This window comes from Homo sapiens, chromosome 3, assembly GCF_000001405.40.
Source record: "Homo sapiens chromosome 3, GRCh38.p14 Primary Assembly".
NCBI classification, from domain to species: Eukaryota; Metazoa; Chordata; class Mammalia; order Primates; family Hominidae; genus Homo; species Homo sapiens.
In genome coordinates, this window is record NC_000003.12 from 169,054,823 (window position 1) to 169,077,291 (window position 22,469).

Sequence of the window (22,469 nt, forward strand, 5' to 3'; positions counted from 1 at the left end):
ACAGCATCTCTCTGTCATTTCTGGGTCTTTGTAGTTCAAGTTCTCCCAACAAAATTTCATCAATTCCTTTTGAGTCCATTTACCCATACTTGCTCTAATTTGCTGTGCCAAGCAGGTTGGATGTACCAGTGACAAAATGGTCAAGACTGTCAGCCAAGTGCTGGGAAAGGGGGCACTACCATTTAACCAGCCAAGTATTTCCCGTTTTAGTATATGTACCCACCATTTAGCCCATTGCCCTAGCCAAAAATCTGAAAGTTATTATTGACTCTGCCCTTTCCTTCAATTGCCAAATCCCACCCTTCATAAGTCCTGGCAATTCTATCCCCTAAATAGTCCATTGTTTCCCTAGACTTTTCATCTCTACTGATGCCATCCTACTCCAAGTCACCATTGTTTCTCAGGCAAGATATTTTAAAGGACGTCTAAGTTGTGTTCCCAAGGTCATTCTAACACCATTCTCCACACTAAAGCTAGAGTTACTTTTTCAACCAATTCTGATCATGTTGTCCACTGTTTAAAACAAGGCTTGTCAGATCTCAGTTTAAAAACAAATATTGTTCAAGAACCCTGTTTTGTTCAAGACCAGGAGTTTGGGTCTTGCCATACTCTCCGGGCTCATCATGTACCACTTCATTTCTTGCTCTCAGAACTCTAGGCCATAAAATTTACTTTCAAAAATAGAAATATACCAAAATTTCTATCCCCTCGAGACCTTTTACCTTGCTACTTCCTCTATCAGAAACACTTTGTTCTGCCACCCTTGGATTAGATAACTTCAACTCAGCCTTTGGATTTCAAATTAAGTATATTTATTCAGGGAGGTCATCTCTTTGAATGTTTTCTCCTACAGCAACATTCATCTTAGTTGAATTCGCTAGTTCAATGTCTAGCTTTTTCACCAGAGTATAAGATCAATGAAAGCAACTGCTACTGCCTTCTAGGCAACGGTAGTGTTTGACATAAAATATAACTCAATAAATATTTGTAGAATAAATGAATTATTGGTAAGCCTAGATCTAATACCAGGCATTCCAAAGATGTGAAATCCTAATTTTCTTAGATTTTTGGAGATGACGAAAAGCTCACACTTCTTGAAATCTCAAACCTTGATTAGGGAAGGCAAGACACTCTGTGACAACTTCTAAAATCAAGAATACATTTCTAAAAGGGTTAGATTATTTCTGCACAAAAAATAAAAGTAATAAAATTTTTATTTATGTTTTGTATAACTAAACATGGATATAAAGAGATATCAAATTCATGCAAGCAGAAAAAATAGCCAATCTTAATTCTTTCAATAAATTTATGTATCATGGCCGGTCATGGTGGCTCATGCCTGTAATCCCAGCACTTTGGGAGGATGAAGCAGGTGGATCACGTGAGGTCAGGAGTTCAAGACTAGCCTGGCCAACATGGTAAAACCCTGTCTCTAGTAAAAATGCAAAAATTAGCTGGGCCAGGTGGTACATACCTGTAATCCCAGCTACTTGGGAGGCTGAGGCATGAGAATCGCTTGAATCCAGGAAGCGGAGGTTGCAGTGAGCCGAGATCGTGCCACTGCACTCCAGACTGAGTGACAGAGTGAGACTCTGTCTCAAAAAAAAAAAAAAAGAAGAAAGAAAGAAAGAAAGAAAGAAAGAAAGAAAGAAAGAAAGAAAGAAAGAAAGAAAGGGAAAGGAAAGGAAAGGAAAGGAAAGGAAAGGAAAGGAAAGGAAAGGAAAGGAAAAGAAAGAAAGACAGGTAGATTTATGTATCGAGTGCCTGTATAAGCTGGGAACTGTTCTAAATATTTTAGATATAGAGTGAAAAAAATAGAAATGAATCCCTGCCCTCATGGAGTTTACATTTTACTACATTCTAGTAATATAACATGGTTAATCAAATACACAAAAATGAAAAAAAATGAAAAAATTGAAGTGTTCACCACACCTGGCTAAATTTTGTAAAACTCTTAAATATTTGTGAACTTGACTTACAAAGTGCTAGTGTTTTCTCTCCTATCTATGACTCTCCTAGGGAATCTCCTAGGTGTTTCGGAGAGACACAAGGATGTGGCTTTGGATAAATACTAGAGCAGAGGTGCATATAACCTCTGCAGATTTGCTGCTACGGAGGTGTATGTCTAAAAGGTAAATATTGTTTGAATTTGGATAAACATTTCAAAATAATAACAGAAAGACTTAGATCCTCATAAATCACACACCAGATAGGAATAAATAAATTTTAGTGACCTTGCTCCTCTTCATTTCCCCTAACACCCAGCATTTACACTAAGGAGCAATGACAAAGCTGTGTAGCAGAGAGACTATGGAGAGAGCAGGGTCCCTGACAGTCCCCAGATCAGATTGGTCTTGGGAATACCTGAGATTTTAGATGCCAAGAGTTGAAATTAAGCCATGGAAAATGGGGTGATACGCTATCCTTTTAAATCTCTTTTGTTTTAATTCCAAGAGATTCTATGCGGGTGCAAAGCCAAACAATAGATTCCAGAAGAGCAAAGTTCACAGTACAATAGGTGTTCCAAAATGGATGTCAATGCAAAAGGAAATAGGGCCACTTAGAAAACAGAATGTTGCCTTTTGTCTTAAAAATTAAAGCCAAATTTAACTCAGAGAAGACAATTCTGAACATAAAAAGAGACCTGTGGCTTCATCAGTTTAATCATAACCCACAAATATTTCTAACAAAGGTCATCGATGCAATCTCTTATAACACCAAGAAGTTAATAATGAATTTATGCATTCATTTGACAAATATTTATCAGGTCCATACTGTACATCAGGCACAGTTCTGGGTAATGAGGATAAATGGTGAATTTTTTTTTAAACCATGACCTTCCATAGAGCACAATCTAGTGAGAAAGATAAACATATAGCAAATAAATAAATATATGTCTAATATAATACTGGATGATAACATGCTATGAAAGAAAATATAGTAGTGTAAGAAGATAGAGGGTCTAGAGGTGGTATTTAAGATGAGGTGTGCAGATGTGGCCTGTCTGTTAAAGTGGCATTTGTGCTAGAGGGGAGTGAGCTACAGGGAGCGTGGTCAGAGAGGAGTCTGGAGAGGTAGCTAGGGTTCAGATCATAAGGGTACTGTGGGCCATGATAAGGTACTGTGGTGCATTGGACAAGAGTAATAGGAAATGGTGAAAGTAGTAAAATTCTGGTGGATAGATAGAGAGATAATGGAAGATAGATAGATCACTGATGGATAGGATATTATTTATAATATTATATTATATTTTATATCATTTATAATATCCTATCTATCTAATCACTGTTTGATGGGGTGTTATAAAGGTTCATCTCCTTGTCTTAATTCAGGACAACTCTAAAGAATTACAGAATTACAGTTACAGAATTCCTCTTATATCAGTTGAGGTCTTTGATATAACTGCATAAAAATTCAATTCTCCCTCTGTTCAATCTTGCTTCCAATGCCCCTCCTCCACACAAATGTTAAATTTGACAGCACCTTCTATAAACTTCTTACATGTAAAGCTCTTCATCAGAGTCTGTTTTCCAGGAAATCTGTCACTTGGTGCCAAGATTCATCCAAGGAAGCACGCTCAAAAATGAAATTTTGGCAGTAGATTACTGCTGGCCGACTGGCAACGAGGACCCCATCAAAGGTGTATAAGGAGAACGCCAGTGATCACTGGTTTGCAGTAGTGGTATGAATGTTAAAATTTTCATGAGTTGTAAACGTGGATGGGATGCTGTGATAGGCAGTCTCTAAAACAGTCCCCAGTGATCCTTGCCTCCTGGTTTTCATGCCCTTATGTAGTTCTCTCCTGCACTAAACCAGCATGTTCCATATGCCTAATGGAATACTGCCAAAATAATGGTATGTGTATTAGTGCATTGAAGCTTCTGTATTGGCATCTTAGATCACTCTCTCTGGGGAGGAAGCCCCTTGCCATATCATAAGAACACTCAAACAGCTCTATAGAGAGACCTTGAGGCTTAGCTAAACAGCTAGAATATTTTGCCAGGTATGTAGTAGTGAATATTTATTTCACTTGAGTCAAATCTTTTAACAAGTACAGGCATGAATGACATGGAATGGAACCTCATGGCCAGCCCTGAGCTACAGACTGCTCAGCAAAACCATTCCTGAATCCCTGACCCAAAGAAACTATGGGAAATAGTAAATGTTTATTGCTATTTCAAGGCACTGATTTTGGGGGTGGGAGGGTTATTTGTTATGCAGTAATGGATAAATAATTGCATATATTGGTAGAAGAGAATATACTTTAAAAAGTGCAATATATCATAGGTTTGAGAAATATTGGTTATAAGGACTATCAAATTATATGTCTATGGATGTGGGCAATGGATATATTGGGGGAAGGGAAAGTTTTAAGTTATTCACCACTTAAAGAGTAAGTGTGAAAGTGAGCCTCCTTTGAAACTTAAAAAAAGATTCTTAGCTCCTGCAGCCAGAGGGCAGAGAAAGCTGAGGACTGGGCTTATAAGAGTAACAAAGCTCCAAAAGAGATCATTTCTGGAAGGCTAATGTAGGGACCCTACGTGTGAAGCCGTGGGATGATGGACTTGAAGTGGGGATATTGTGTTGATGCATGAAAACCTCTTGAATCTCCAGATTCTCCAGAGCTTTTTAGACCTGAAAAAGTGGCCCACCTTCCCTGTTCAAGGACAGTACTCTTCCCTTGTCTGAAAATTATGCATAGGTGTGTTTGCAGCACAATCCATCTGCCTCTCAGGATCTACCTCCCATTATGTCTTTTCAGGTAATACAGTAGGCCCCTCTTATCCATGGGGTATATGTTCCAGCATCCTCAGTGGATCCCTGAAACCACAGATAGTACCAAACCTCATATATGCTAAGTTTTTTCCTAAACATATACCTATGATAAAGTTTAATTTATAAATTAGGCACAGTGAGAGATTAAAAACAATAATTAATAATAAAATAGAACAATTATAATAATATACTAGCATCACTACTCCACTATTCTTTGGGGCCATTATTAAGTAAAATAATGGTTATTTGAACACAAGCACCAGGATACTACCACAGTTGATCTTGTAACCAAGAAGGCTACTAAGTGACCACCAGGAGGGCAGCATATGAAGTGGGACTATGCCAGACAAACGAATCATTCCAGTCCTGAATGGAACAGAAAGAAATAAAGTAAGATTTCATTACGCTACTCAGAATGGTGTGCAACTTAGTTAAAACTTGTAAATTATTTATTTTTGGATTTTTCTATTTAATATTTTGGGACGTCAGGTATCTGAAACCTTAGAAAGTGAAACCACGGGATAAGGGAAACTACTATAACTGGAATTGAGCCTCAACATAACCCAGTGAGGGAAGGGCTGCAGTCTGCTAAAGGAGGAAAGAGTCTGGGTTTCAAAGGCATGACAGGACCTAACCAACATATACCAACAGATGGCAGAGCAGTATGTACAAAATTGGGTTCTGAGGATGCTGGATTAAGGAGGGTAGAATATAAAATTGGATTAGGAAGAGTTGATTAACATGGAAACACTCAACTACCACATAGGACTTAAAGCCCTGGAAAATGACCTTGGGAGATGAAGCTAATACGTTGCTAAGATAGCTCTTGGAAGTTTGCTGAAAGTTATGGCCCATGCTAAGTGAAGTATATTTACCAGGGTATTCTGGCAGATGAGGAAGAATAAATAAAGAAAAGTTGAGAGTAATGGTCATGTGCAGTGCATACATTTCATGAAGGTAGATGATAAAGAAGTGCAGGTGAGAAGAGAACCACTACAACTGAGAAGTTCAGTAATAGCTGTCCTCTATAGGCCAGGGCCAATGATAGGAGATGTGTCCATAGAACTGTCCTTCCTGATAATAGTGGGGATGATACGAGCTGGAATAATAACAGAAGCAGCATGGTGGGAACAATTATTGCATTGAGGACTAAGGTTGAGGTGGAAGCTGACAGCACATATAATAGTTATTTAACTGTTTGCTTTTTTTTTTTTTTTTTTACCTTTTTTAAGTGAATAAAGTAAGCACAGATCTGGAAACTGGGCAAGGGATGAACCATGGAGGATGACAATGGACCATTAAAAATTCAACGAGTCCTAATTGTGGCTGCTATACAAGATATGGTGTATTTGCTAGGGAAGATTAATAAAGCCTCAGATACATTTTATTATATATGACCACTAATCTGGTGAATGCAATTTTTTTCTAATCCTATTAGAAAGATCAGGAACAGTTCATATTCATTTGACACACACAACATCATTTACATATATTCTTTTCCTTGGGGCTATGTTAAATCTCCCATTTCCTGTCCCAAGGACTTGGACCATATGGATACTCTGAAGAAAATGACATTGGTCTACTATATCAATGATACCATGTTAGTTAAACTGAATAGATCAAGAAGCGGTGACTACATTGGAGACCAAGCTACAGATTCCTTCAGAGTCTATAGTAAACAATCCAATCAGTTATGAGGTTAGTATACATTCTAACCTGGACTAATGAACAGCATGATGGCTCTTGTTAATAATACTGTATTGTTTACTTGAAATGTCTTAAGAGAGATCTTAGCATCTCACCAAAATAAAATTTCAAAAGTAACTATGTGAGATGCTGGATGTGTTAATTAACTTGATTGTGGTAATCATTTCATAATATACACACATATCAAATCATCACATTGTGTACTTCATATATATACAATTTTACTTGTTAGTTGTAGCTTGATAAAGCTGGAAGAGTAGAAGAAGAAAAAAGAATGAATGACCTAGTCAGCTGATGTTAGCCAGACTGCTCATCAGCAGCCCCAGTACTTGCACAATAGATGCATGAATGGTGTAGCCTGATGAAGGAATGGACAATCTGCATGGGACCAAAAGCCTGAGCTCTCCCTCACTGAAGCTTATCTAGCTATTTCCACTGTCAAATGTCCAGCTTGTGAGGAATAGAGTCCAACTTGTGTGCTCTTTATAGTATTGTATCTCAAGGACATCCATTTTAGTGGCAAGTTGACAATATTGGACCCCTTCTTCCTCGAAAGGGGCAGCAACTCATCTTATACATGCATTCTAAGTATGGACTTGCATTTCTTGCTTGCAGGACCTCACCCACCATCATTAGCTGAGAGTGCACAGAGTTTGATTACCAACACAGGATCCCACATAACATCACATTGGACCAAGGAACACTCTAGACTAAAGAAAGTGTGGTAGTGGACACAGGGCCATGGGAGCCATTGGTTATATCACATACTGCTCCACCAAACTGGCCTGATAGAATAATGGAATAGTGCAATTACAGCCAGCTTGGAGATGATAGACCGTGAAGATAAGACCCTATCCTTCATAAAGTAGGATACTTCATGATGCAGTTATATAACCTAAACCAATGACCATTATATGGTTCTCTGTCTTTAATATTTAGAATACCTGGGTCCAAGACCCAAGGAAAGAAAACAGGAGTGGTCTTACTGCCATTACTTTTATTGACTTGGGGAATTTGTGCTTCCCATACCTGCAAGTTTAGGGACTATAATACCTAAAGGGAAGTGCTTTCAGAAGGAGACATTATACTAAGCCTTGAGCTGCAGTTGCTGCCTGATCACTTTGGTCTCTGCATGTCAGGACACCAAGAGCAAAGAAAGAAATTACTATGCTAGCAGGGATAATTAACCTTGATCATCACGAGTAGAGAGAGTTGCTGTCATACACTGGGGTCAGGAAGGAATATGTTCAGTACTCATGTGATCCACCTGGGTGTCTCTTGATACTCCCTTGCCAATTTTGATGGTAAATGAAGAAATGAAGTGACCACAGACTAACAAAGGTATGGTGACAATGAGATCAGACCTCTTGGCAATGAGATTCTGGATCATCGCCATAAGATAAGTCATCTAAACCTTCATGTGCCAACCAAGGGAATTTAAAATGACAGAGATGGGAGAGAATGAGTATCAGTTGCAGACTCAAGACCAACTACAGTAGCAGTGTCTGATGTTTATACCACTAACACTCTTCTTTTAAGTTTCCTCAGCAAAAGACATCCAACAGAACTGTGAAGGAGTTGCTCCTAGGAAGTGGATCCAAGAAATGCCAAGAATGGTCTCTTCTTTTTTTCTTTTTTTTTTTTTTCTGAGACTGGGTCTCACTTTGTCACCAGGCTGGAGTGCAGTAGCCTGATCTTAGCTCACTGAAGCCTCGACCTCCTGGGCTCAAGCAATCCTCCCACGTTAGCCCCCAAGTAACTGGGACTACAGACACACACCACCACTCCTGGCTAATTTTTTTTTTTTTTTTTGTAAAGACAAGGTTCTGCCATGTTGCCCAGGCTGGTTTCGAACTCCTGAGCTCAAGCAATCAGCCCACCTTGGCCTCCCAGTGTGTTAGGATTACAGGCATGAGCCACCACTCCCAGCAAGAATAGTCTCTATTGAATACCGTAGTGTGCTATCCATATGTCTCTACTTCGGTACTCGTCAGTCCTTCAAAGACATCCAAGACCATGCTTCCTCTGCAGCACCACTCCTTATCCAACGACCAGTAGATGCTGGAATTAAAGAACCAGACCCCTCGCCATGATTTGCGACAACTCTAAAGGCCTTCCCAGCTCCCGAGCTCTCCAGAAGACAGGCTGAGGTTTTTATTGTGACTGCATCATAGTTCAATTTCTTTCACTTCCACAGGTGTTAATTCCAAAAACAATCCCCAATAAACTTCCTGCATATAAGTCTCCATTTCTAAGTCTCTTTTTCGGGAATACCTGCCTACACCGCAAAATTAGTTATGATGATGATTATTATTATTTTTATTAGGCACTTAGCATATTAATTTAATTCTACTTCCCCCAAACAAAACCGTAAGGTTACTATTAAAGTAAACCCATTACAGCCAAGGAAATTGAGACTTAGAAACATTAAATACCTTACCTATTGTCACACAGGCTATAACTGGTGGAGACAGGATTTGAGCGAGGTCAGCCAATTTCTCAAGCCTGTGAGGTTTTATGAGTGATCAAGTATCGCTGTCAGAAGCAATAGCATGAACAAAGATATGTATCTTTGAGCTTGGGGGAATGAGAAAAGTTAGGGAGAGATAAGTCTTAGAAAGACAGAAGAGTTCAAATTGGAATAAACCAAGAATGCCACAGTCAATACGGATTTACCCAAAAATTGAACCAGTTCTGTAGAATTCTCCATTATTCTCATCCTAAAGAAGGAAAAACAGTATGGCTTATTGACAAGGATAAAGCTAATAGAAAAGTTACACTTGCACCCTTAATTCTGTTATATCCTTACCAGGTATGAGAAATGGCATGGGTAGAAGGAGAAGTGGATGGCAATAGCACAGAAAGAAATCCAAAACCCTCTCCTCAGGGATTATGAGGTGAAGGTGCCAGTCGTGGAATGCTGCACTCTTATTCTCCTGTGTTTATTCAGCCCTGGGGCTGAGGTTTGCCTTGGAGTTGTAACCTTTATAAGGGGTTTGCTTAATGACAGAATTATTCAACTGCATACCTCACCCCAATTAGAAAAAGGCTGTTTGGATTCTAATTGACCTTGACACAAGTCTGCTTAAAGAGATTCCCCAAGAATTATAGAGCTACTTTCAGAGTTTGACTTGGCCAGGAATATGAAATGTAACACGGTTTTTTGAATTTTCTGCAGTTACTATGAAACGACCAAGCCACAGGTATCAAACATGCTTTGTTTTTGTGTTATAATCACATTACAAATTGAACATTTCCACATGTGCAAGTTGGCAAATCTGAAATGAATGATTATGAAGATTATAATTACATATATCAGGTATATATGGCCAACATATTTTCACTCACACAAAAGCGTATTTTCCCTACTCCCTAGACATCCATGTATAGTGTGTTTATAGGATGTAAAACCATCATCCTATATATAAACCAAAAATGTATTTTTAAACAGTTATTGCCAGGTCAGGTGATAAGTCGACATAATATTTGGAAGGTGTAAATACCAGGAAGGGATAGAGATTCCTAAGCTAACCATGAGGAAATGACTAACAATAATAGGTTGAAATCAAGAAGAACATAATTTGGACTGAATATCAGGAGGAGAGAAAATAAGCTTCCTGGCTACAATAACTGTTAGGCTCTGAAATAATTCTTAAGGGAAGTAGAGCTCTCTTCCTTACCCAGGACTTTGGAAATGAGGCATGCATTCTTGGAGTCCCTTCTAACAAGCAGTTTTGCTTGGGGAGAGGAAGGAGATCTTTTCCATTTCTGTTTTCAGAGACTTGATATTAAGAAAAAAAATCTCAGAAATCTTTATGTAATTTCCCTTTAAATGTTCACCAAACCACCTTTGAGCATGATCCTGCATTTACCTTGTAGTGAACATTATGTCTCCTGTTCCTTCACAGCCAAGAAAAATCCATCCCATGGTCACACAGTTTGCAGCAACCAGGAATTATTTTCAGCTTAATCCTGAAGACCACTTGGTGGTCTTTCACTCGTCTGAGTACCTCTCCCAAGCACTGCAATAAGGAGTTCTCTAAGAATTGCAGCTAACTGCTTTAGTCAGGCGTACTCTCCTCATTTGTCTCAATCCTGCTTTTCCCTAGTTCACAGAGAAAGTGAAAGCCTAGAGTATGAACAACTATTAAGCTCCCTCTCCACCTAAAAATTGATCTGCATTCATAGTTTCCCTCCCTCCCTCCTTGCAAAGGCCAAGGCCCTCTTCACAGATCTCTGCACTAGATCTTAACCCCTCTTACCTCCTGCAGGGACTTGCTCTGTGAGCCACTCCACTCTTTTCACGCTCTCAAATACTCTATTTCCCCATCTCTTACTCTCTCAAGCATGTGTTTTACCTCCAAGTATGTAAATATGCTTTTTCCATCTTTTTTCTGGGTGGGGATGCTTCTCCAGTCAGTTCTCTAGAGGGTAGAGCACACTGCTAGTGGGCATACCTCAAGCCAAGGAGTGGCCATAGGTTGGGTGTTAGCAGGGAAAGAGGTGTGGACAGAGTTTGGGTTTGTAGCTGCAGTGGTCACACACACAGGTGTGTATACAGAGTTCCTCACAATATAAGGTTTACTGGGATGGGAAGAAAAAGGAGGATCTTCTGTTGGAGGTGCAGGGTATTCAGATTGACCTCTCCAAGCAATCATATTCTAGAGCAGAACTCTGGAATGCAAGAGTTTGAAATTCAAGCCTTCCAGGTGATTACAAGGTATATTTATTAAGTTGGGAGTATAGAACACATTTAACAGTTCATTCTACTGGTTCCTAGCTTTGAGATGGGGTAAGTTTGCCTCCATTCATACTTTTGCCTTGGGCCTTGGAAATACAACAGGTGGGCTTTCTGAAGCTACCATAATCTGGCTTATTTACCTCTATCTTGCAACCCCTATTGTTAAAGTTATCGATAATGTTTTTCTGGTTTTGTCCATTTGACACTTGACCAATCCCTCCTCAAAACTCTCCTCTCTCAGTGTCACATGACCGTCCCAGTTTTCTCCCTTTTTCTCTGCCCTTTCTTATTTGGCTTTCTTGGGTGCTTAGTGTGTCATCAGTCATTGAAATAGTAGAATTTCCCAGAATTTCTGTTTTTGGGCGTGATCACCACAGACCTCTCTCCTAGTGGGAGCTTTCTAGATTCTTAATCTGATCATATTCTGGTACTGTGAAACTCTACAGTGGCTCCTCATGATGGCCTGCAGTATAAATCCACACTCTTCTCATCAATTGAGGGATTTATGATCATCTGACTTCTCCAGCCTTATCTGCTACTCCCTCCCCATATGCATCCAACTCCATCCAAACTGCAGCTTCCTGAGGCCAGCATTTTCTCTCATGCTCTGGGCTGTTACCCAGGGGTTTCTTTTGCCTAGAATATGCTTCCCTCCATTGTCTGTCTGGTTAAACTATACACCATCCTTTGGGGATCGTCTTATCCATGTCTGCGAAGCATCTGGAGACTTACTTGGGTAGAATTTTGTGTGTATGTTCACAGACAGTTTCATAAAGGCTTCACACTTTCTCCTTTGTTAGGGGAAATAAAAAATCCATAAACTCCTCCTCTCCCACCCTCACAATGAACAGTGAGATATATTTCCTTCTAAAGTATATGCTAACTTTTACAAGATTTTAATTTGCAGCTTATAAACAATTCTGTTTTCAGCACTTTACCATGATATCATAAGAATTTTTCTATGTTATCTTACGGTAGCATAGCATTATAATTGTCTTTAAAATACATTGCTAAAATGTTTTTGCCAGCAACATAATATGATCAGACCTGTGATTTGAAAAATAAATCTGTTAATGATGTAAAGGGCTGATGTGTGAATAGACTGGAACCAGGAAACCAGACAGAAGTCTATTTGATCAGCCACGCTAGAGCCAGGGAGGAAAAGAGAGAAAAGGAAGACACTGGAACAGATACAAGAGAACTTTGTGAGGAGGAACTGGCAGACCTCAATGAAAGATTCCATGCGGCAGAAAAGGTGGAGACAGGTATCTCTATTAGATGATGCTGTGAACCAAACTGCAGAGGAAACATTACGGAAGGTAGTTTTCTAGAGAACAATGAATTGAGTTTCTGCATTAATATAACCATTTGGGGAGTCTTCATGAAGACAATAGTTGTATGATTGATATTTTAATAACTATGAAAAACAAGTTAGAGGAAATGTATAAAATATATACATTTATGTCAATGGTAAGGACTGTCAGGTAGATTGGAAAAGATTAAGATATTCTTAGGTTAAGTATTAACTCCGGGAAAACAAGAGTTAATAAAAAATAAAATGTAATGCATTAGTGATTTGTGAATAATATTTATATAATCATATGCAAAATATATTTATTGTCATAATTTTTAAACACTTAATTATGAGTTATTCAGTAATTGTTATGTAACTGTATTGGGAAGACGGGAGGAAAGAGTGTGGAGGGATTGCATAGGACAACTAAATTTTTATTTTCCATAACAGGAATCTGAAGAGAGTATCTACAGATGAAACCAATGAATAAATAGCAATATAAGAATGTTATTTATAAATGACTAAATACCTAAAAGGCCTGAAATTGAATGCACATTGAAGTAGGAAAAAGGAATAAGACAAGAAACTAATGGATTTTAAAAATATTTATTATAAAATATGTAAAATAAGTTGACTTTTAAAACTTGTTAGTAATGAAATAGCAAGCAGATTAAAGGTAAAATGCTATATTTACTTGTATGCATACATATACGTTAACGTGTTTTAAAGCACAGTTAGGAACATAAATCATAAGTGCCAGCTCAATCAATTATCATAAAATAAACACACCCATGTAACCATCACCTAAATTAAATGGAACATAATTAGCACCCAGAAATTCCATCTTAAGCTCTCTATATCATTGGTCCTTCCCTCCTATGCAAAAGTAACCACTATTCTCACTACCGTTATCATAGATTAGTATTGCCTTTTTAAAACTCAATTCAAGTTGAATAACACAGTATGTATTCCCTGCATCTAAATTCTTTCACTTAAAATTGTGTTTGGAAAATTCATCCATGCTGTTGCATGTAGCTGCAGTCATTAATTTTTAATGCTATACAGTATTTTCCTATATACAAATACCACAATCATTGGTTTACTCATCTATTCTACTGTTGATGTATACTTAGTGCTTACAGTTTAGAGCTATTAAGGTTGCTGTGAATACCTTTGTATATGAATTATGGTGCATATATGTACACATTTCTGTTGAGTAGCTAGATCATATGGGATAATATATTTTCAATTTTAATAGATAACATTTAAACCATTTTCTAAAGGGATTATACCAATTTATATGCCCACCAGAAATGCGGGAGGGTTACCATTCCTCCACATCTTACCAACACTTGATATTGTCAGTCTTAATCTTGTAAGTCTGGTATGTGTGAAGCAGTATCTCACTGAGGCTTTTTAATTGGTATTCCTTGATTTCTGATGAAGTTGAATATTCAGATATCCTCTTGTGTGAAATGTCCGTTTATGTATTTTGCCTTTTTATCTATTGAGGTTCTCTCTTTTTCTATTGAGGTTGTCTGTCTTTTTCTTATATACCTTCTCTATTAAAGTCAAAGATATTTTGACTATATGTTATCTTAAATTTTTGTCTTTTACTTTTACATATAAAATTAACCTGGAATTGATTTTATTTTTTGGTATGGGATGAGGTAGGTATCAATGCTACCTAAATTAATTTGTAAAATTAATGAATCCCAGTTAAAAAAACACAAGTCAATAAGACTTTGTGAAACTATATAAGCTGATTTAAAAATCCATTTTAAATGAACAAGTGATAATACCCAAGAAATTCTGAAATTTTTAAATAATTGTAGGTTGGCTCATTAGTTATGCAGAATGTGCACTGGACAGTTTTGGAGGGTGAAGGAAAGGGAGGTATCATTAAACATATAATAAAATGGTCCTGAGAATGAGCTATGTACAACATACATAATTGCACAGAAAAGCTCGAAAACCTATAAAACCTATTATAAGGCTATATTGATTAAAACTGTGTTACTGGTTTATCAGTAGGTTGATTGGGTAATGAAAAGAGTGAAGGTCACCAAAATAAACCAAAATTTATATAAAAATCTAATATATGAAAGGGGGACATTTCAAATCAGTGGTAAAAAGACCAATTATTATTAAATAATGTTTAGGAAACTTAACAGAATCTCTGCCTTGTAATTGTACCTTACAACAAAACAAACTTTAGATGGAACAAAATAGAAATTTAAAATAATCAGTGTGGATCATTGGTCTGTACATGAGTAAACCTCAAAAGGGAAAAGACCGATTAATTCAACTACAAAAATACACAATCTTCACAAAGTGAAAACTAAAAAAAAAAAAAAAAAACAAAAGCTAACACAGTTATAATTACTATAACAATTAAAGGCTATTTCCTTAAGTAAAGACCTCCTTGGAAAACAAAACCACCCAATAGAAAAGCAGACAAAACGTAGAAAGAGGTAACTAAGCAGACACCTTATAAATATTTTTTTAAACCCTGATGGTCTTAAAATGTATGAAAAGATTCACACAACCTTACTCATAATAAAAAAAAAATGCATCATATTTTATCATCTTGGATTTCCAAAGATGCAAAAAAAGAGAAGCTGGATTATTTGGTGTGGGGAAACAAGCACCCTCACATACCAATGGTGGGAATGTAAACCAGTGACAAATCTTTAGAGGTGCATTTATTGCCATAATCCTTGACCTTGCAATTCTATGACTCTTTACCAAGATATTAACTAAACTACTGTTCCCTATAGCAAAATATTAGAATCACCCCAAACGTCCAGTGGTAGGAGACTAGCCAATCAAATTATGATACAATGGAATATTATGTACTTGAAAAAAGAGAAGTGGAGAAGGAGAACAAGAAGAAGAGAGTTTTATTTGAATTTATATGCAGTGATCTCAAGTAAATTAAATAAAAAATTAAAAATATATAGTATGCTGCCACTTGTGAGAGAAATAAAAGGAGTAATACACATATCTTCTAGAAAAATATTGAAGAATCTTATAACAGGATTTGCATATTTGAAGGGGAACCAAGTTGCCAAGTGAGAAAAGGAAGCTCATTTTTTTTACTGTACTCTTTTAGAACTTTTGAATTTTTACCAGGAGCAGATACTACCTATTAAAAAGATGAATGAAATACTTAATAAAAATTAAAAAGATCGGGAGGCTGAGGCAGGAGAGTCACTTGAATCTGGCAGGCAGAGGTTACACTGAGCCGAGATCATGCCACTGCACTTCAGCCTGGGGGACAGAGCAAGACTGCTTCAAAAAAAAAAATTAAAAAGAAAAATATAATGAGGGATGACAGTGAAACTCAACTGATTATGGCTACTATTTATTGAACATGAATTCACACTAAATTCTTCATGTGCAACCGATGTTTGCATTTTTCCCCAAAACTATTTGGTAGTTATTGCTATCCCCATTTCACAGTTGAAGAAACTGAGGATCAAAGAGAAAGTAACTTACTATGGTCATGTATTAGTTAATAACAGAGGCATATTTCTTACCTGGGTGTGTATGTTTCAAACCATGTGCATTTTGTACTGTGCTTCCTCTTGCTATGACAAGTTTATCTCACATAAATGGAGATTCTCTTTAAAGCTAACTTGTTAATACCACATCCCACTGGCCAACTGCTAATCCATCTGTCATTTCACTTGCCCTCTGCATTCCCTCTCCATCCTTTCATACTCACACAAACTTGTGTACATACAAAAATGACTGTTTGGAAAGCAACCACCTACCGTGAAGTGACCCAGAACTTTGCACCGTTCCATGGATAATTGTAGGAAACCAACAAATAGTTTTCTTGTTCAAGACATATGTAAGTAATTGGTCAAAGTTAAGTGGCATCCATCCTATTCTGCATAGCTGGACTGTTCTTGCAACCCTCAACCCTTGCATTCCTCTGCAAAGTGTTTTGTTTATACAGGCAAAATTCTAAGCACATGGATATATCCTAGGCTGTCTTCATGATCAGAATCCAAATGTTCAAAAGACAAGCAGCAGGACACAGTTAATAGAGAAAAATGGAATTGCTGGTTAATCAGTGGAAAAGTAAAATAGCATTCCTTGTCATCAGGACGGAAGAGTGATTGAGTGCACAGCCTTTGGAGTCAAATATACCTGGGTGGATTCCCAGCTCTTTAATGGACCTGCTGTGTAGTCTTGGGTAAGTTTCCTAACCTCTTTTGCTTCCATTTTCTAGATGAGAAAATGGGAATGATAATACTGCCTATCTCACAGGCAGGATTGTTGTGAAGGTTAAAAAACAAAGAAGTGGAAGAAAAGCATTATCCTCAGTGCTGGGTGCATGGTAAGAATTCAGTGAATGATAACTATTGTTTTAGGTAATATTAGGCTACGTTGCAGGCCAAACCCTCAATTAGTTTTACAGTTCATATTTCAAATGAGACACTTTTTTGTGTCTTCTACAACTTGTTCCCTGGGTATCTGGTCTCCTTGACTCTACTCCCTCACCACATCTATCAGGGTGTCTGCAGATCTTTACATACTGTTCCCTTTACCTGCTACACTTTCATCCAGATCGTTCATGGAGGACTTCTTTCCAACAATGAGGTCTCTACATGAATGTCGTCTGCTCAGAGAAGCTTGCCGCAACCAAAATTTCATCCTTTCTTCTATCTCGAGCCTAAAATGGTGCTAAAGAAATATTTGCCCTTCAAAATACTGTGCTACACTGCAAAATGTCATGAAACATTAAAATATAGCCTGCCAAACATTTTTATTGTATGCTAAGTGACTGCCATCTTCAGATATTTTTCTCTCATCATCATAAAGCCAGTGGTTTCCTATCATTTTCTTGATAATGCAATTTAAAGCAAAGAGTTGACTGATTTTTCCTATTATATTTTAAGGAATGGGGATACATTTGAAGTACGTGAAAGAAAATTGTTCTCATTTTAATTTTTCCTAAGTTTTTCATCACACACAAGGAAGAAAATCTCAAATTAGAGCTAATATTTCTTTAACCTCTCTCTAACACTTCATAATATCCCCTTTTAAAATAAAGAACAAGTAGACAAAAAGCCCACAGTCAGGCAGGAAACAGTGTTGTATTAATCAGGATAGATTAGGTTTTTCTGTGGGCAAAAGACACATCCAATGTCTCAGAGCCTAAACTGAACAAAAACACATTTCTTATTTACAGTACATGCCCTATATGGGTTTGTATTCAGGATGAAAGCAGGTATGCACCACAGTCACTTAGAGACCAAGGCTGAGGCTCCACCATCTTAGAACTGTGTCATCTGAAACTTGAAGCTTTTTTCTTTTTCACATTTCACATTCTTTTTCACATTCCTCATAGGAAGAGGGTAGAGAGAATTGTGCAATGCAATTAAATTATTTGGACCAGTAGGCCGGGTGCAGTGGTTCATGCCTGTAATCCCAGCACTTTGAGAGGCTGAGGCGGGCGGATCACCTGAGACCCGGAGTTCAGGACCAGCCTGACCAACATGGAGAAACCCCATCTCTACTAAAAATACAAAATTAGCTGGGCATGGTGGTGCATGCCTGTAATCCCAGCTACTCGGGAGGCTGAGGCAGGAGAATCTCTTGAACCCGGGAGGCAGAAGTTGCGGTGAGCTGAGATCGCACCATTGCACTCCAGCCTGGGCAACAAGAGCAAAACTCTGTCTCCAAAAAAAAAAAAAAAAAAATTACTTGGACCAGTAGTGTGAAATGTCATTTCACCTAACAGTCCATTAGACAGAACTAGTTACATGCATCTCCCTAACAAGAATGTGTACTTTTCAATATGTAGTAACATCGACCACAAGTACAGATGGTCCCCAACCTATGATGATTCGATGTCGCTGTGGTGCAAAAGCAATATGCACTGAGTAGAAACTGTACTTCCAATTTTGAATTTTGATCTTTTCTCAGTCTAGGTCACAACCACAAGTGTAAAGAACCTATATGCTATACAGCGTACTGTGTTGCCAGATGAGTTTGCCCAGTTGTAGGATAATGTAAATGTCCCGAGTATGTTTAAGGGAGGCTACGCTAAGCTATGGCGTTTGGTAAGTTAGGTGGATTAAATGCATTCTCTATTTATGATATTTTCTATTTACTATGGGTTGATCAGGATGTAGCCCCATCATAAGTTAAAGAGCAACTGTATCTCACTAAAATCTAATAATATTGTAGTTTTTCATTGTGCATATTTCTATTATTAAGTTATATTTATAGCAAGTAGTTTTCTATTTACATGTTCTTTTCAAATAAAATTATCAAGCTGTAAAAAATGAATCAAGACAAAGAAATGTTAAATAAATAATGATACAAGTGGCTTAGAGATAAGGCAAAAGTTGTGTTGCTATCTAAATCATTAAAATGTGGGGCTCACTGTTCTTGGGTGAGATCACACAACTAGTTTGTGGCAAAAAGGATAAGACTGCAGATCTCTTCGACTCTACATCTGTGCCTTTCCAACATTGCTGTTGCCTTTCTAAGAACTGTGGTACCCAGTAAAGCCTATGCAATAGTCCTAAAGTGCTTCTGAATGCTAACATGAATGAGAGCAATTCCACTTTCTCTAATTATTCTTTTTTCTTTTCTTTTTTTTTTTTTTGAGATGGAGTTTCTCTCTCGTTGCCCGGGCTGGAATGCAGTGGCCCAATCACAGCTCACCACAACCTCCGCCTCCCAGATTCAAGCGATTGTCCTACCTTAGCCTCCTGAGTAACTGGGATTACAGTGATGCGCCACCATGCCTGGCTAATTTTGTATTTTGTATTTATTTTATTTTATTTTATTTTAGTAGAGACGGGGTTTCTCCATGTTGGTCAGGCTGGTCTCGAACTCCTGACCTCAGGTGATCCGCCCACCTCAGCCTTCCGAAGTGCTGGGATTACAGGCACGAGCCATCTCTAATTATTCTTTAACATTTTGTACCTTTGGATGGTGTTTTAGGAAAAAATGAAATGACCCAGCAACTACTTTTTAGTTAGTTATACACAAAAATTATTGGACTTAGAAGAATACGAACAGAAAATTTTTAATTTTAAATATATGCAAGAACAGTAAAAAAAATGCCACCAATTTACCCATTTAAATAACAGTTGACACTAAATTAGTGATACTAATGGGGAGATGCTTTTTCATAAAGACTATTTTTCTCTGTAAAGACATTTGGAAGTAAACAATCTAAATCTTTAGGTTTTAGTCAGTGTGTTTTGCTCTGAAGAGGTTTACAAAGCCATGGGGCCAATTGAATCTTCCTACTCCTACTATCCTAATATATTCACTTATTGAAAATTGTCCATTGAGATTTCCCACTTATCCTTCTGTTACTGCCTTTTTATTCTGTCAAATTGAAGACCTTAGTCCTTAATTTCATCTTTAGAAAGTGAATGTTGATGAAAGAACTGGTCCTTGATAAAAACAAAGCAAAGCAGAACAAAACAAAAATGAAAGCTGTATTCTTCTCTCTCCACCTATGGCACCTTCTCCCAGCCCATGAAGACAGATTGTTCAGATAGCTGCCACCATCCTCAGCTTCTTACAGCCCAGTCTTACCCGCTCAGGGAGGGCCTCAAATATGTCCCCTTACATCCATTTTCATCCTCTTTTGGCCTCTTAAAAATACGTTTCCTCCCATAACTATCACGGAGAAAAGGATCAGATTCACTACTGCTGATTGAAATCACTTAATATGTCATCCCTCGTAAAATAATATATTATTGTTTTAAAGGAAGCGCATATGATTATCACAGACCAGGATGACTTCAACGGTGGAGGTAAGGACATATTTTCTGACAAGGTCATGACACTAGCTGGCCTCCTGCTAGACTCGTAAATGTTGCTTCTTTGGGAGGTCTCTGATTCTTTTTTTCTCCTGATTTCTTTAACCTGATTTAAAGATACTGCTTCCTACAAGAAATGCTTGGAAGGAGCTAAAACTTTTTATCCTGCAGGGAAATAATGGAGAGAAAGTATTGAAAGTGAGCTTTGCCTTCTGAGATGTCAAAATAGGGCAGAATTTTTACATAAGATGCTTTTAACACTTCTTTCTTGCTTACAGGAGCTCAGTACTATTTAGTTGGTTATTTCTGTTCATCACTATTAGTTCATCACCATTTCTGATAAGTAGTTAGAGCTCCAAACAGGAACGAAATTGCTATGAATCAACATGTGGGAAATGGATAATACACTCTACTTTTATAATATGGACAATACGTTTGTTGCCATTAAGACATATTTTGTTTCATTTGTGACACATGAAAACAAGCTGAAGTTGAGTTTGGCTTTTGTGGCATAGAGCCAATCTGAGCACATTTGGAGGTAATCTAACCCCTGAACTTATCACAGAAGTCTTTGACCCGACCTCCTTTGTTGGATACCAGGATTTTACCCCACTCTGCTCATAACCCACTCCTCATTGTAGTGGCCTAGAAAGAAGAAACTTGGGTTTGGACTCCAAATCAGCTATGTGATCTTGCACCTTAGACAAAACCACCATCCCTCTTTTGAGATCTCACTGTGTTACCTGCATAGTGAGCAGGTTGGGCTCAGCCCTCCCTCACAGTGCATGATTAGAAGGCTCCTGTCACTCTCACACACAAGATTTCTTTTTGTTCTCTTTATGTAATTTACTCTTTGCTTAACTAATTTAAAAGAATTTGTTTGTTTTTGTAAAGTTTGTCTTATTAAAAAGCCACACATTCTTTTAGATAATGTAAAAATGCAGACAAACAACAAGAATAAAGCAAATGAAATTCATGCATAATCTTGCCAACCAGTAAAATGTTACATGATATAGCTTCCAGATATTTGTAACTTGCTTCTTCAGTTAATAACATATAGAGATTATCTGCTCATGTACTTAAACAGGCAGACAGCATAGTTTACTTTGCTGAGTCTCTTTCACTGACTACTTTGTAGATAACAATTATTTTATTATTATCAATGTTTTAATCAACATCCATGTTCGCAAATCTTAGTATGTAATGCTAACAAATTTTTAGGTTAAATTCCTAAACTGAGAATCTCTTTTTCATGGGTTATGCTCATAAAAAGAAGTATGTTTTTAATAAAACAAGAGTAATTCATTCTTATTGAAAATATCAAATAGTCAAAAATGTGTAATATAAAAAATTACCCACTGCGCTCCCTAGAGGTAACCCTGAATACTAGTTTGGTATATGTCCTTTTAGATAATTTATCTATTTATTCATTATTTAATAAAATGTATAGAATAGACACAATGTGCCATAGTAGTCACTGGAGAAACAGCATTGATCAAAGTAGATACAGTTAGTTCATTCATGGAGCCTAAGACATTAGCAATAGAGTTCTTAAATAATACACTAATACCTATGTATACAATTACAGATTGCAATAGGTGCATTGAATGTGTGGCAAATTGTTTGATGAGAGACACAACAGGACTAGTTAATTTACACTAATAGGTGAGAGAAAGTGAGAAGATATCAAGGAATGTTTCACTGAAAGACTAACATGTACATTAAAATCTGAAGAATAAACTAAATTAGCCAAGTGAGAATATAGGGGATGACTGGAGGAGTGGGATTCTGGATTGGAGGAAGATAGGAGTGCTCCAAGTTCACACATATGCTGTGCACAGTCCTTGGAAGTGAAATTGAATTTGGTGACTGAAAGTAATCCGGTAAATCTGAGAAAGGCAAGTAGGGAAAGACTAAACAGGTAGGCAAGAACTAGGTCATGGGGTGCCCTGGAGGCCATGTCGACCTGATGATATTCATTTGAAGAACAATAGGGAGCTATTGGAGGCTTTCTCCACTAACTAGGTATGTATGTCCAGTTTAGGCAGTTCTATGCCAGATATAGTCTGTTGGTAACCAGCACCATTTCCCTATTCCACTGTATCTTAGGGGCCCTGATGAGCCAAATCTTCACCCCCGACACTCT

General features: G+C 37.5%; 1 long non-coding RNA gene across 1 annotated transcript in view; it reads right to left on the reverse strand.

Annotated features, from left to right (window-relative positions):
* Nucleotides 1-9,371, reverse strand: part of LOC107986051 (uncharacterized) — a 35,428-nt gene extending 26,057 nt beyond the window's left edge. The window contains exon 1 of the long non-coding RNA XR_001740574.2: nucleotides 9,293-9,371. This is a non-coding gene — a long non-coding RNA (uncharacterized LOC107986051). The remainder of the gene's footprint in view (nucleotides 1-9,292) is intronic.
* Between the last annotated feature and the right edge of the window lie 13,098 nt (nucleotides 9,372-22,469).